The sequence below is a fragment of the Homo sapiens genome, chromosome 1 (genome assembly GCF_000001405.40).
Source record: "Homo sapiens chromosome 1, GRCh38.p14 Primary Assembly".
Lineage (NCBI taxonomy): Eukaryota > Metazoa > Chordata > Mammalia > Primates > Hominidae > Homo > Homo sapiens.
This window is the reverse complement of record NC_000001.11, coordinates 152569777-152585775: the sequence shown is the minus strand read 5'-3', so window position 1 is coordinate 152585775 and position 15999 is coordinate 152569777. Positions and strand designations below refer to the sequence as shown.

The 15999-nt window shown below is 41.8% G+C and overlaps 1 protein-coding gene across 1 annotated transcript; it reads left to right on the top strand.

Annotated features, from left to right (window-relative positions):
• Positions 1-5259: 5259 nt before the first annotated feature.
• LCE3D (late cornified envelope 3D) lies at positions 5260-6395 on the top strand. The gene is made up of 2 exons (NM_032563.2): positions 5260-5307; positions 5819-6395. The coding sequence occupies exon 2, from the start codon at positions 5840-5842 to the stop codon at positions 6116-6118; it is 279 nt and encodes a 92-aa protein (NP_115952.1). The 5' UTR covers positions 5260-5307; positions 5819-5839; the 3' UTR covers positions 6119-6395.
• Positions 6396-15999: the final 9604 nt, after the last annotated feature.

Genomic DNA, 15999 nt, shown 5'->3' with positions numbered 1-15999 from the left:
TTGACCTACAGGCCAGTAGATGGTGCTTATGAGTAAAAGCCAGCAGTGGTCAATGCAAATAGGTATATATTTGATACTTGTTTACGGACAGAAGCTCTGAATTGCCTCAGGCAATGGGCTGATCTGTGGGGTGCTCAGTGGTTTGAGCTCCCTGCTCAGTCCTTGGGGGCATACAAAGATGGGTAGAGCCACACTGGGCAGCCCACCTAACAGATCCTCCAATGGCAGGCACAAGCACCAGCACCAAGGGAGAAAGGCTCCCAGTGGGGTGCCTAGGCCTGGAGCTGGGAAACCTCCTTGGCCCCAAGTTCTCTGCATGGAAGTGTTGGGGGGCAGCTTGAACTCCTAATCCAGGAGAGTGGGTGCTCCAGATGCCTGAATATCTGCCTAGGCATAAAGCATAGAGGGCCCTGCTTTACCACAATCTGCACTGGAAGAATGGGGCAGCTCAGGCTGCTGATCCAGACAAGTGGAGTCCTGAATGTCTGAAGATCTGTGGGAGCATGGAGCAGAAATTGCCCTGCTGCAGCACAGTCTCAGGGGAGCAGGCTGGAGCACCCATGAATGACACATACAGACTAATTCCGGGTCTCCACACCAGGTGGCCCTGGCTGCAAGTCTTACCACCCAGAAGAAACAGCAGCTGCAGTAGTTCTCCTACTGCGGTGATAGGGGAGAACACAGTTCCAGCACCTACTTGTGGGGCACTTTCCACACTTGCCATTAGATTATGGCTGTAGAGACCCCTACCCTACTCCAGGGTAAGTGCTCCACTCTCTGGCCCAAGACTAAAATGCCTGCACAGCCATACTGCCAAGTCATCAGAGAATGGCTGACTTTGTATGTGCCTGGATTAAAAATGGCATCCTGCTTTCAGTACTGGGTTCGGGAAAATCTCCGCAGCTTTTCCCAGTGTCTTTCCCTCTCAGTGTCTCCCAACCTCTTCTCAAGCTAGCTCCAGGGCATGGGAGAAATATGATGCTCTCCTTTGGCCTGGGTTGCATGGATCCCCATTAGAAAGCTAAGTCATAATGTGTGCCCCTCTCACATATTGGGGCTTCACTCACTTTTCAGCTGGACTCTATAACAAGGGTTGTTTGCCCATTTTCGCCTCCTTAGGAACTGTGATGTCTTTTGCTTTCCAGTGAATTCCCATTTTCGTTCTTGAATTAAAGCCATAATTTTGATCTTTATGCATTATTTTGCTATTTCCAAGTGGAAGAGTCATGCTAAAGCCTCCAATATACCATCTTGAAAAATAAAATAGAATTTTTTTTAAATCCTAAAATTCATGTGGAACTACAAAATACCCTGAATAGCCAAAGCAATCTTAAGGACAAAAGAACAAAGCTGGACGTAATACACCACTTGATTTCAAATGTACTACAAAGCTCCAGTAATCAAAACAGCATGAAAAAAAAAAGACAGACACATAGATCAATGGAACAGAATAGAGAGCTAGAGAGCCCATAAATTAACCCACACACACACTTCCTGTTAACTGATCTTTGACAAAGGTGCCAAGAACACACAATGGAAAAAGGATAGTTTCTTAAATAAATGGTTTGGGGAAAACTAGATATTCACATGCAGAAGAATGAAACTGGACCCTTATCTCACCCCATATACAAAAGTCCTCTCGGTCTTCAACATAAGATCCTCATTCCCTTCCGGGTTTCTAGGTGTATTTGCATTTTCAGCTTAACTGCTGCACTGAGAGCAGCCATTAGCTCTTCTAGTGACTGTCCCATAACAGGTGCAATGTGCTTTTTTATGTCAAACTGGATGGTGAGGCTGAAAAGCAACCAAGAGAGTGGAAAAAAAATATCGGAAAAAATGCCAGTGGTGTCAGACCTAAAACCTAGAGAACAGGAATGGGGCAGCCTGAGTGAGAGGAGTGAGAGGGTGCTCCCAGAGAGTCCCAGATGCCCTGTTGGGTCTACCCTGACCCCTGATCTGCAACCCTCACTGGAGACATCACTCTATAACTTTTCTTCTCAAGCCCAAAGTTTGATCTGAGCCTCTCTCTTTCCGACATGCCATCACCAATCTTACATGTTGGAATTGACTCTCATCATCCTTTATTTGAGAAACACAAGCTGAATATCTGCTAAGGCCAGTAAGTGGCTTGCTCAGCTTGGGTTTCAGCACTGAATAAGGGGCACATTTACTTTCTTCAGGGATCTTACAACCTAGCAGAGAAGATAGACACTACACAAATATGGTATTTATATCTGTGATGACTGAGCCCAAAGGCAAAATGTAGGCATTATAGTGTGGGTGAGAGAACTGTCTTTGTCTTGGAGTTCAAACCTAGCTTCAGAAGTGAATAATTACTTTTCCATGTACAGTCGTTGTCCAGAAATAAGTACAGAGTCCGTATTTACTCCTAATGATGTACAACTTTGAATTGCTGTAAGACTTCATTTTGAGTATAACACATGTCCGCCTGTCAGTGTGACTCAAAGCATTTCAGAACTTGTCAGCAGGAGGGTCCACCTTTCCTCATGAATTGAAAGCTGACTTGTAGCTGGCTTTTTCTTAGCTCCACCACTGGGTCCCTTTCTGAGTTTCTGTCTCCATATCCTAATTTGGAGACATTCTTTTTCTTCTTGGGATGGAACTCCTTAATCTCACACATCTCTTATGAAATCTCCAACCACTTGTTCTTCTCAGAACACAGTCCACAGCCCAGTTACTTCTCTCAGAGCATGGAGCAGCTCCAAATGTTCTGCACTGTGAGAACTTCTTAGTATCCCTGACATCCTGAGGACCTGGGATAATGAAGAAGAAATTTACTTGACTGGCTCAAAATGAGGATGTTATGACCTAATAACAAGCATGTTGACTCTGGGCCAGGAGGTGCTTTATCTGAGGTCTAGTTCCAGGGTGAATCTTCTGAGAAGTCATATTAGTAATAAATGAGTGGACAAACAACCAACCAAGGATCAACCCTTCTCCTTTGCAATATATGACTGATGCTATGAAAAGCAGCTGAGTCATTCTTGGGGAAGATGAGATGAGCAAGCCATCAATGGCAACTTGGGAAGTTGTCCAAGTTGTCGTGGAGTTTATGTCATTTAATTTTCTTACTATTGGATTTCAGAAGCACAAAATTAGATTAACAAATACCCTCTGTTCATATTATATGCTCACAATTCATCCATGCTTGGCCTTCTTAATTAATGTGCCTACCTGTTTGTCTATTATTTAAATAACAAACACACAAAAATTCACCATCCAAGCGAAAATGATAACTTTGATAGTAAATTATATGCACCTGTGTAATTCAGCCTTCACCCATGTCCCTGCCTGTCCCATCTAATATAACCATGATCCTAAATCTTGTATTCATCATTCTTTGCTTCCCTTTTGGTATATTTCATTATTTTTTATTTCTAAAAATTGTTATTTTAATTGTTTTTTCTATTTTAAGTTTCATTTCTTGAGATTTTGTATACCAAAATATCATCCATTTAATTATCCAATTCTATGAGCTTTAACTAACATATATAGTCAGGTAAACCCCACAACAACTAAGACATACAACAGTTCTATCACCTCAAAATATTCCCTCATCTGCTTATTAAATCAGCCTCTCCCTCATACCAGCCCTTGGCAACCACTGACCTATTTTCAGTTCTTATAATTTTGCCTTTTCAAGAATGCCCTATAATTAAAATTATATAATATGTAGTATGTAAAGTCTGACTTCTTTTGCATTTGAGATTCATCCCTGTTGTTTTATATATCAGTAGTTGATTCCTTTTTTATTGCTAAGTAGCCTTCCATTGCATAAATATACCATTTTTAAAACTCTATTCATCAGTTGAAGATCTTGTGGGGTTCTTCAAATTCAGGGCAGTTATGAATAAAGCCACTATAAATGTTGGGCTACAGGTTTTTCTGTGAACATACAACTATATTTCTTTTGGCTAAATATCTAAGAATAGGATTTCTGGGGCAAATTGTAAGTTGTATGTTTAATTTTTTTGATAGACTGCCAACTAATGTAATTTTGCATTTCTACCAGCAATGACTTGGGCTTCTTGTTGTTCTACATCCCTCATATTACTTGATATTGTCATTTATTTCATTTTAGCCATTCCAATGTGTATAGAGTGGTATCTCACTTTGCTTTTAAATTGCATTTCTCTAATGACTGATTAGGTTGAGTATCTTTTCATGTGCTTAACTGCCACCCATATATCTTCTTTGTTAAAATGACTCTTCAAATACTTTGCCCATATTTTCTGTGTTATTACCTATTTTTGAGAATTTAAAAAACATTGGCCGGGCACAGTGGCTCTGTAATCCCACCACTTTGGGAGGCCGAGGCGGGTGGATCACAGGTCAGGAGATAGAGACCATCCTGGCTAACACAGTGAAACCCCATCTCTACTAAAAATACAAAAAAATTAGCTGGGTGTGGTGGCAGGCGCCTGTAGACCCAGCTGCTTGGGAGGCTGAGCAGGGAGAATGGCGAGAACCCGGGAGGCAGAGCTTGCAGTGAGCCAAGATCGCGCCACTGCACTTCAGTCTGGACGACAGAGCAAGACTCCGTCTCAAAAAATAAAAATAAAAAAAAAATTCTTGAACCAAGTCCTTGGTAAGATTTGTGTTTTACAATATTGTCTCCAAGTCTGTGAATTTTCTTTGCATTTGCCTAGCAGTGCCTTTTGAAAAGCAGAAGTTTTTAATTTTGATGAAGTCCTATATTTCTTTTTTGAATTGTACCTTTTTGGCATATCTGAAAAATTTTGCATAACCCAAAGTCACAAAGATTTATTATGTTTTATTGCAGAAGTTTCATAGTTTAATTTTTTAAATTATGATCTATTAATTTTTATATCTAGCATTAGGTATGATTTCTTTTACATATGGACGTCCAATTATTTCATCTCTATTTGTTGAAATGACTATTATTTCTCCAGTCATGACTCAAGAAAGAATTATGTCATACTAATTCCCAGGAAATTGTAAAGGACAGACTGTGCTCCACAGCACGTGAGTTGAAACAAGGAAGAAGGGAGGAAGAAAAGAAGCAGTGGTAGCCTCCCAGGTGAGAGGTATGTGGACAGTGATCCTGCTTCCAGGTTCAATGTCATTGGTTGGATATTATGGAAGTGCCAAAGCTACAAACCTAGTCTTGGGCGTGTGCCTTGTTGACACCTCCCCTGGTTGTGAAAGCAGCAGCATGCCCAGGCTGTGCATCACACACCGTGCACAAGATAAAAGCACTCCTGCCCTGGGCTCCTCATCCACCGTCTCCTCAGGAACAGCCTTCTCCTGCCTCCTCTGCACCTGGTGAGTGTCCAGCAGGGGATGGGACTCAACTTGGGATGTTGGAACAGAAAACTAAGGTCATAGCAGGAGAGGGAAATGGAGAGATCTGAAACAAAAGCCCGGAGAGAGGATGGCAGAGAGGGTACCAATGTGGGAACTGGGGCCAGGAGGGAGACCCTGCAGGAACTGACAGCAATTCCATGACCTGCAAAGGCCACAGAAGCTTATGATTCCTTCCCATCCTCTTTCTACTCAGGCTGGCACATGTTTCCTATGATCTCCATTCTCCAGAATGCCTTTTGTCAAAAGGGTACATTCCTAGAGGCTCTTTGGAGAAACAGAAACATGGATGCCCACTTAGACTCACAGCAATCTGTCCCTGGTGGAGAACAAAGTGAGAGGCATCTGGCATGTCCCACCAACTCCACATCAGCTTCCCTCACCTTCCTGCAGCTCTTGCCTCAGGAGGCCGCTGGTCTTAGAGACATTGGACTGTAGATTTTGGACTAACAAATGGCTTTGTTTTGTCCAGGACAACTCAACTCCTGCCAAGATGTCCTGCCAGCAGAACCAGCAGCAGTGCCAACCCCCACCCAAGTGTCCCTCACCCAAGTGTCCCCCAAAGAGCCCAGTACAGTGTCTGCCTCCAGCTTCCTCTGGCTGTGCCCCAAGCTCTGGGGGCTGTGGCCCTAGCTCCGAGGGCGGCTGCTTCCTGAACCACCACAGGCGCCACCACCGATGCCGGCGCCAGAGGCCCAACTCCTGTGACAGGGGCAGTGGTCAGCAAGGCGGGGGCTCTGGCTGCGGCCATGGCTCTGGAGGCTGCTGCTGACCTGGATCCTGATGCTGAGACAAGCGATTTTGGAGGAAACAAGAATCCCAAGGGCCCAGGAAAACCCCATCTTGATGCATGAGTTCCCAGATACCCTCTTCTGGCTTTCACAGGCTGAGCTAGGGGTTTTCCTGTGGAAGGTCTGAGCTCTCCCCAGAAGGCACTTCCTGTCTGATGTCCAGGATGTCACATGTTCCCTTACCCCTGTACCTGTGAAGGATTGGCAGTGCTTGTGCCTGACCTCATCAAAAAATAAAGCTCCTTGTCCTCATTACCACTGGTGTCTCCCTTGGCATTTCACTCTGTCTCTCCCTAGGTGGGGCTGGAAGTGTGCCCTCCTGTCTGCCCCTGACATCCAGCACCACCACAGGGAAGATGCAGAATTCTAGCTCTAGGTCTGCAAAATTCAGGAATCTGTCGAGTCCTTTTCTGCTGGAATTGTGCGGCAGTGGGGGACAGGATGTGATGAGAGGGGTTGTAGTGAGGCCTCTAACTGTCAGAAAAGAATGACTGAAATGTGATTGTCCTCTCATAATGGACTCCCCAGTCGTAGGAGGAGCTAGCTACTAGATGTTTCTGACATCTCTATTACAAAACAGTGAAGATGTAGCAGGCAATTATCAAAAAAATAGGCAGAATTAGCATTTCTTCTAAAGGGGTAAATTTGACTCTCCAAGGGACATTTTTTGTTGTCAAAACTTAGAGGTAGAAAGAGAATTTCTGGCATCTAGTGGGTAGAGGCCAGGGATGCAGCTAAGCCTCCTACTAAGCATAGAACAGCCCCACAGTGGAGAATTATCTGCCCCAAGAAGTCCAATAATTGCAAGGCTGAAAACCTTTAGACTACAATTAAAAGATGGGTAAAGAAAAACATGGCCTCAGCTGTCTGTAATCCTAGCACTTTGGGAGGCTGAGGCAAGTGGATTACCTGAGGTCAGGAGTTTGAGACTGCCTGACCAACATGATGAAACCACATGTTATATGGTTAGTCTCTACTAAAAATACAAAAAAAAAAAATAGCTTGGCATAGTGGCAGATGCCTGTAATCCCAGCTACTCAGGAGGCTGAGGCAGGAGAATTGCTTGAACCTGGGAGGCAGAGGTTGCAGTGAGCCTGTTGTACCACTGCACTCCAGCCTGGGCAACAAGAGTGAAACTCCATTTCAAAAAGAAAAGAAAGAAAAGAAAAGAAAAAAGAAAAAGCTGGTCTCAGGAAAAACAGATAACTCCACATACACAATTAAATCTTCAGAGAGAGAAGGTGGAGGGAGTAGAATTAATTAAAGCTTAAGAAGTCCTGGGTCAGGGGAGAAATGGAGCTGAGAGCTTAGGGAATGTAGTAATGTGGAAGGTGTGGACTGAGACCATTAAGATAAAGGAAGAGAGAAAATGAGAAGTATTGCTAGGCTTATAAATTAGAATAATTGTAAGATCAAAAACTTATTTGCTTATTAGGTGCTAGAAAACCCTAAGTGACTACTATGAACTCATTTAATTTTCTAACTCGATAAGCCAGGTGCTCTTAATAACCATATTTTACAAACAGGGAAATTGTGGGTCCAACAGTTCTGCACAGGACCCAGCCAATAAGTCCGTGATCCTCGCTGATGCCACTTGTCCCTCCCTGGAGACTTTTCAAGAGATCTTTAGAAACAATTAGTATTTTCTACTTTACATTTATTTTGTCCTGTTTAACTTCGTGTTTTGTTTTTATTTTTGTTTGATTTTTTTAAATCTGCAGAGCTAAGAGCCCAACTATGTGACTCATAACTTCAATAAAACTTTTTAAAAATTTTTCTCTGTCATGTTTTGGATGTGTGATACTTAACCGCCCTCTAGGCTGAATTACCTCCTTAGAGATGAGTCTCTCTGTCTGTCAGATTGTTGAAATACTAGCTTAGAGAAACAGTTCATCAAAGCCATTCATATAGTTCTTAGAATAAGCCAAAGGAACACCACAGGACATGAATTAAATTACAAATTGAAAATGTGGGAGAACTCTGTGTGGAGCTGGGTACAACAAGCAAAAATAAATAAATATAGATAAAACATTAGGAGTTTATTGAATCAAAAATATCCTTTTGAAAACGTCAAACTGCCTATTTATTTTTACTGCAAAGTCTAAGAACTCAGGATTTCTAAAATCTCTGAAATTTAGTAAAGAAAAGGGCTCTCAAGGAGTCTGATGTGAGAAATACTCTAACCAGTTCTGATTACTCTCCAGCTCAGCACAGTTGCTGAAAGTAGGAACCACAGCCGTCCTGTTTGATTCATCACCACAAGCTGCTTGTTACTCAAAACTGGAGACATTCTTGGGTAGCGCTCCACCATGGGACAGAAACAGTGTCAAGTCATGATTCAAATATGTCTCAAAAATATTGAGAATGCATAAGGTTGGTTGGGAGGTTGGAGTTGCTACCCTGTGTGTGAGGCCTTGCCACATGGACCCCACACCAAGGAGCCCACAGATCTAGCCAGAACCACTCCACTAGTCCAGAAACTGAGGACCACTGTTTAGAGCAGGACTAGAATTCATGAGACAAATTCCTAACTGCATATCACCTGAAAGAGAAAAGATCCAGCCTTTGAAGAAATAAAGCCTGCCATCAAAGTCTATGGAAAGAGGACTGGAGGCTCCAAGCACCTACCAAGGTCAAGCTCTTGATGTCAAATTGTCCGCCAATTCTTACACCCACTGTGAGTCCACTCAGGAGGGAGAAGAAATAGGAGTTGGACCAACTTATGAAGTTTGAACCTGCAATACCAAGACAGTCAAAGATAGATGTTATGCAGTTCATGATGCTGCCCCTAAAAGTGGACCCCAACAGGTCACTAATAAAGACCACCTCAACCCAGCCTAGGATTCAATAATTAATAATTAATCATTCATTATTTAAAAACTATTTATTAAACATCTATTATATACTGACACCTCTATAGATACTGGAGATACATTAGAGAAAATGAAAAAATAAGATGTTCTCAGGGAACTTCCAATCTAGTGGGTCCATTCAAGACAGTCCTCTGATTTGCTTGTAAAACAGCAAAGTAAGGTATCAACACCCCTCTATCCAGTTGGTTTCCCATATCTCTGGATTGAGGAGGCAGCAGTGTAGCTTTGATAAACACAATGAAAGACACTAGCCTGAGAACAACATTGATGATTAAATATACTGGCTTTGCTACTGCAAAAAGCTCATGTAGTAACACCTTACTTTTATACCACAGACAGCAATCAAGTAAGAATAAGGGATGAGTTGCTAGTGGTGATGAGAAGAATATTAGTGCACTAGAAGGCCTATGTTCTCAGACCACTGCCAGTGGAAAAAATAATGTTTGCACCAGTAGTATGAAGGTACTCTCATTTTCCTCCTGTTAGACCTTATCTCAAAGTGGGTAGCCACAACTATAGGCTTTCCTGTAGTAGGATAAACAGACACATTTACTGTACTAATAATGTTTTCTCAAAAGCCGTGCATTTTTATTTAACTTTTATTTGAAGTTCAGGGGTACATGTGCGGGTTTGTTATACAGGTAAACTTATGTCATGGGGATTTGTTGTACAGATTATTTTGTCACCCAGGTATTAAGCCTAGTACCCATTAGTCATTTTCCCTGGTCCTCTCACTCCTTCTATTCCCCACCCTCTGGTACGTCCCTGTGTCTGTTGTCCTCTCTATGTGTCCATGTGTTCTCATTATTTACCTGCCACTTACAAATGACAACATGCAGTGTTTGGTTTTCTTTTCTTGTCTTACTTTGCTAAAGATAATGGCCTCCAGCTCCATTTATGTTCCTGCAAAGGACATGATCTCACTCTTTTTTATGGCTGCATAGTATTCTATGGTATACCTGTATCACATTTTCTTTATCCAGTCTCTCTTTGATGAGCATTTAGGTTGATTCCATGTTTTTGCTATTGTGAGTAGTGCTGCAATAAACATATGTGTGCATGTGTCTTTACGAGAGAACGATTTATATTATTTTGGGTATATACCCAGTAACGGATTGCTGTGTTGAATGGTATTTTGGTCCTTAGGTCTTTTAGGAATAGCCACACTGTCTCCAACAGCAGTTGAACTAATTTACACTCACGTCAACAATGTATAAGCATTCCTTTTCCTCTGCAACCTTACAACACCTGCTATTTTTTGACTTTTTAATGACAGCCATTCTGACTGGTTTGAGATGATACCTTACTGCGGTTTTGATATGAATTTCTCTAATGATCAGTGGGATGTTGGGCTTTTTAAAAATATGCTTATTGACTGCATGCACCTCTTCTTTTGAAAAGTGTCTGTTCATGTCCTTTGCTTGCTTTTTAATTGGGTTGTTTGTTTGTTTTTTTTCTTGTAGATTTGCTTAAGTTCCTTATAGATGCTGGATATTATTAGATTTTTGTCAGATGCATAGTTTGCAAAGATTTTCTCCCATCCTGTAGGTTGTCTGTTTACTGTATTGATAGTTTATTTTGCTGTGCAGAAGCTCTTTAGTTTAATTAGATCCCATTTGTCATTTTTGCAATTGATTTTGGTGTCTTTGTCATAAAATCTTTGTCCATTTCTATGTCTGGAATGGTATTGCCTCAGTCGTCTTCCAGGGTTTTTATAATTTTGGGTTTTACATTTAAGTCTTTGATCCATCTTAAGTTGATTTTTGTATATGGTGTAAGGAAGGAGTCTAGTTTCAATCTTCTGCATATGGCTGACCAGTTATCCTAGCACCATGTATTGACTAGGAGTCTTTTCTCCATTGCTTGTTTTTGTCAGCTTTGTTGAATACCAGATGGTTGTAGGTGTGTGGCCTTATTTTTTGGCTTTCTATTCTGAACCACTGGTGTATTTGTCTGAAAAAAATACATATTGTTAATTACCTGTGTGATATAAAAGATTTGTCTTATTCTTGAGTATGCTTATATTTCAGAAGAAAATGCGTCTTTATTGTTATAATAAAATGCAATAGGAAAATTCTACAGAGCTGATTCAAATGCAGTTTTTACAGGCATTAGTCACACATCAATTGCATTACATCAGGTATACATAATAACACTACAAAATGTATCTATAATTATTCACCTTCAATTAATTATAATTACCTTTCAGATAAATTCTCCCTGAATATCCCAGCCTGGGTGAATCACCTTCTTCTCTGACCCATGTCTGCAACTCAGAAACTTACAAAGTGAGTGGCTTACTGACACATCGTTCATCAGATGTAGGTTAGTTTCTTATCTCCATCTCTGGTTGCAGCTCTAACATCCGTGGTCCACTGTGCTTTCATTCCATTGTAGTTTTTTCTCTCTTCAAACACCTTTACCTTATGACAACTATCACCTGAAGAAATAAGAAAACAAAGCCTGAAATATCTGACTCCCCAACCTATGTTCTTAATGAACCTATTATTCTGGCCGCTTCTATCCACCACATTCTGTCCTCAGACAGGAATTTTGTCCATCCCCCTTCTCTCTGCAGGGACACCTCTGCCTCCTAGGTTTCATGAGTTTCTCTGTGTCTCTCTGACCATAAACTGCAAGGGGAGGTCAGACTCCTTATCCCTTTGTTCCTGCTCCATGCCCATCATCAGCTCCTATAGGCTGCTGACCTCACCTCAACTACTCTCAAGTGATACCAAATGACAACCTCTGGGCACACTGAGGAGACAGGAGACTGATAGCCAAAAGCTCTTGCATAAGCCTCAGGACTCAACACATGTTTTATGTAGCTTTCATCATCTTGGGTCATAGTCATTTGATCACCTGTCTGTCTGCCCTGCTACAAGGTGAGCTACTCAACCAGAACCACATCTCATTTATTTATAATTAGGTGTGTCCACCATCCAATGGATTGCACATCTATCACCATGCCCACTGTGTAATATCTGTTCATTTTTTAGAGAATAGAAGAAAGTAAAGAAGGAATGTAAAGAGAGGGGGAGAGCAAAAGAGGATGGGAGAAAGAGAAGAAAACACACCAAAAACAAACTTAAGAAATAGGTACCCGGACAGTCTTGGGGCATCCCAGATCCTTCTCTTAGAAAAACTTACTCTTTCCTCCCCCACACCTCCCGCCCCCCCGCCTACTACCAGGACCCTGCAGCCTATAAGCAAGCAACATAGAACCTGGTAACAAGATCCTGTCCAGAGAGTCTATGAACTAGAACTTCCTGAGACATCTGCCTCTTTCCTCAAGGTGTTCAGACAGACACTCCCTGAGCACCAAGCTTCAGTCACTAAGGTGCCCCCCAGCTCAGGCCCAGGGAGAAGCCTCAGACCCCTTGGTGTGACAAAGACAGGTAAAGAAGTAGAAGAGGATAGTAGAAGTTGAGACTAGAGAAATCAGCCAGTTCCTGACCAGCCAGAGACTAGTACTGTAGCCAAAGAATTTTTTGTTTGTTTTGTGGACAATAGGTACGTATGCACGTAAGCCCACAGGTGATCTCATTCTCCAACCTCCAATTCTTTCTCTTCCACCTCATGTGATCTGATCCTCTCAAACCTGACTGTGCATCAGAATCACCTGGGAGATACTAAAACCCTGATGCCTAGCCCAAGCCAACCAGCGTCTTGAGGGATGAAACTCAGAGTTTTGTATTTTTAAAAAACCCTCCAAGATGATGCCAATGTGCAGCCAAAGCTGAGAACTTCTGAGGTAGAGGATTCTCTTCTCTCCAGAAATTCCACCCTCCCTGATCTCCTGGCATCCATCTTCTCCCTACCTCCCCGACCCCCATCTCCTCTTTCTATATGTGACTTTCTGAAATAACAAAACTTTCTTCAACTTTATCTGCCTTCCCTACACCACTCTTAGCAACTCAAAGCCCCCTGGATGATTGGAGGTCTGACCCATTCCTCAGCACTCCAGGCCCACCATGACCTGTACTGAAAATTGGAGCCCAGCTCAAGAGTAAAGAAAGATCATGTCACAGACCACCCAAGATAGCTCACAGAAACTGAAGGTTTTGAGGGTGACATGGAGTTTGGAGACAAAACTTTTCATTGTTGACATCTGAAGTCTTTCACATTTTTCACCACAAAGCCCTGATTTTACAGTGATAATTAGCTCCAAGAAGGAATGTTTTCCTAAATGCAGTTTAAAAAATATTATGCAATTTATGAAATTGAGTATTGATTTATTTATTGACTGATATTGGAAAGAGAGGAAGAACCAAGAGAGATCCTTGGCAGGAAAATCTTCCAAGGGCCTCTGAAGTTTATTAAGTAGTCTGAACTCAGTGTCAGATACAAATAGTGACTTATTTTTCCTCTAGTCTCTGTCTTCTACTATGTTATACTGACTCTACTTTGATAATATCTCAAGTGTGTTTCAGGCCTTTCTAATCATTTTTCAGGTATTCAGGAAGCATCCTATCCTGTCCAGTTGGATATAACTCAGAATAAGAATATTAACTCCTCCCTCTCCAACCCAGCACAGCCCAACTGTCTCCTAAAGGACTGTGTGGAAAACAGGCATCTAGTGTGTGGAAAAGAGACATGGTTAGTTCCATCATTTATTGTCCACCTCCTCCTCTCCCCTGCGGGTTCCCTTTATTCTGCACTGTTTTGAGGCCGGAATGAGAAAAGGGGGGACAAAGCAAATATCTCATATTTGGCTGGTACTGCTAGTGTCTCTCAGTGGCTGCATCCTCTCTGTGCTGACCCATGAGGGCTCTCTTACCAGATAAATGACTGATTTCTTTAAGGAACCTTTAGCACAGTGACCTGATGTGAAAAATTTGGCCTCTTTTGACACTCCCCTGCACTCTTAGCCCCATTGGTACAGGCCTCTTGCCTTGATAGCCACATTCCCAGCAGGACTGTGGCAGTACAGCTATGCCTAGCTGCCCTCCAAACTGTCCACTGGCTCAGGGAAACTCATGAACTCTGGCCATGTCAAGCAGTAAGGGACTGGCTGCTTCTCTTTTCCCCATTCTCCTTTCCATTTTCCCTTTCCAATTATTTTTCACTCTCCAGAATAGCCAGAGAACTGTTCAGCAAGTCCAATGATGACACTGAGACCTGAAATTTTAGTCTTCCTGGGTTTTGCGTGTGTGTGTGTGTGTGTGTGTGTGTTTTATTGTTTTGTTTTGTTTTGTTTTGAGATGGAATCTTGCTCTGCCGCCCAGGCTGGAGTGCAGTGGCACAATCTCAGCTCACTGCAAACTCCGTCTCCCTGGTTCAAGCGATTCTCCTGCCTCAGCCTCCTGGGTAGTTGGGATTACAGGCACCAGCCAACACACCCAGCTATTTTTGTATTTTTAGTATAGATGGGGTTTCACCACGTTGGCAAGGCTGGTCTTGAACTCCTGACCTCAAGTGATCCACCCACCTTCACCTCCCAAAGTGTTGAGATTACAAGCATGAGCCACCGCTACTGGCCAAGTCTTTCTGTTTTTTAGGCATTGATAAGTTCTACAATTTGTCCCCTTGAAATTTCTATGACTTTTCCTCTAGTGGAGGGTAAGAGTAATAACCTGTTGCTTCCCCATGTGAAATGTAAGGGGAAAATCCACAGCATTCTATCCAGTTTTGAAAACTTCTCATTACTATAACAAGAGAAGAGTGATAGCATCTCAGGGCTCCTTCCAACCTCTTTATAAGGTGGAGAGTTATTTGTGCCTATTGTTTACAAGTTGGCAGTTATTTTTGTCAAATCTCAATAAAACAGGAAAAGCTTAATCTTACTTTCTCATATATGACCTGGATATTATATGGAAGCATCTCTGTGGTGATGAGAAGAGCTGTATATCTCAAAATAATAATGCTTATTGGATGTGAAGTTTGTGACCCAGATGAAAAACTAGGGACTCATGTTTTCACTTAAGAAGACAAGGTTGGGAATGATTGAGCAAGGATCTCCAAAAATCTGCTCTTCCATTAAAAACACCTTGAAAATGAAAAATTGTGAAAATCAACTTTTGCAAAACTCTGGAGATTTACCAAAGGCTTGCAAAAATATTAGAGTGTTCACTTAAGAAAAGCAGTTGAATATGGGTAAGAGCAGTGAGCTTTGTGACATTTTAACTTGCCCTATTATCATCTCCCTGTTCCCAGTGCCATAATAGTCTTGAAATCTAAAATGCTAGTAGCACATGGAGGTAACAGAACATATCTGAAACTATCCAAAAACCCCATCCCTAGAGAAATGTCATTATCTGACTATATGGCACATAATGAAGATCCCATTCCCATTTCCCCTAGAAATCCCAACTAGCCAAGCTTGTTTTCATTCCAGTTGACTCAGAACTCTCTCACTGAAAACAGCTTTTACCCCAGGGTGTTTGCCAAAAACAATCAGTAAAAAATGTTTAGCATCACAGCTGCCTGTGATGGTGATAATAGTTGGGCAAATCAGAAGTTGACCAAAAACTTAGATGGAAAATCTGAGGAATGAGATTCTCATAGAGAGTTTTAAAAATCTATGACACATTTCTGGAAATCTAGGAGACTATGTGGACTTACAGGGTGTGTGCATGTACAGAAAAGACCTGGGAAGACCCTAATATCTCAACTTTGACTGATCTTGAAGTTCCATCCAAGCAGGAAATGAAACCTAAGACAGATTTGTAAACTGTCTTCTGAAGTCTTGAAAACATGCCCCAACATACACACAGAGGTCCTCAGCAAAGGTTGAAAGACATTAACTCAAGGCATTTAAGGAAATCTCTGTCTACTAAGCTAACTGAGTACAGAGTTAAATGACTACACACAATAAAGAATACAGATTTTACAAAATTGGTTCAGGAAAGTCATGAAGCAAATGGACAGTGAAAACAAACAGCAACAAACCCCAGAGAGGGTTGGGAAATTTGATTTCCAGGATTTTATATCATTTTAAATGTCCAATTATTAACCAAAAAAGAAAGAAAGCTACAAATAAACAAGAA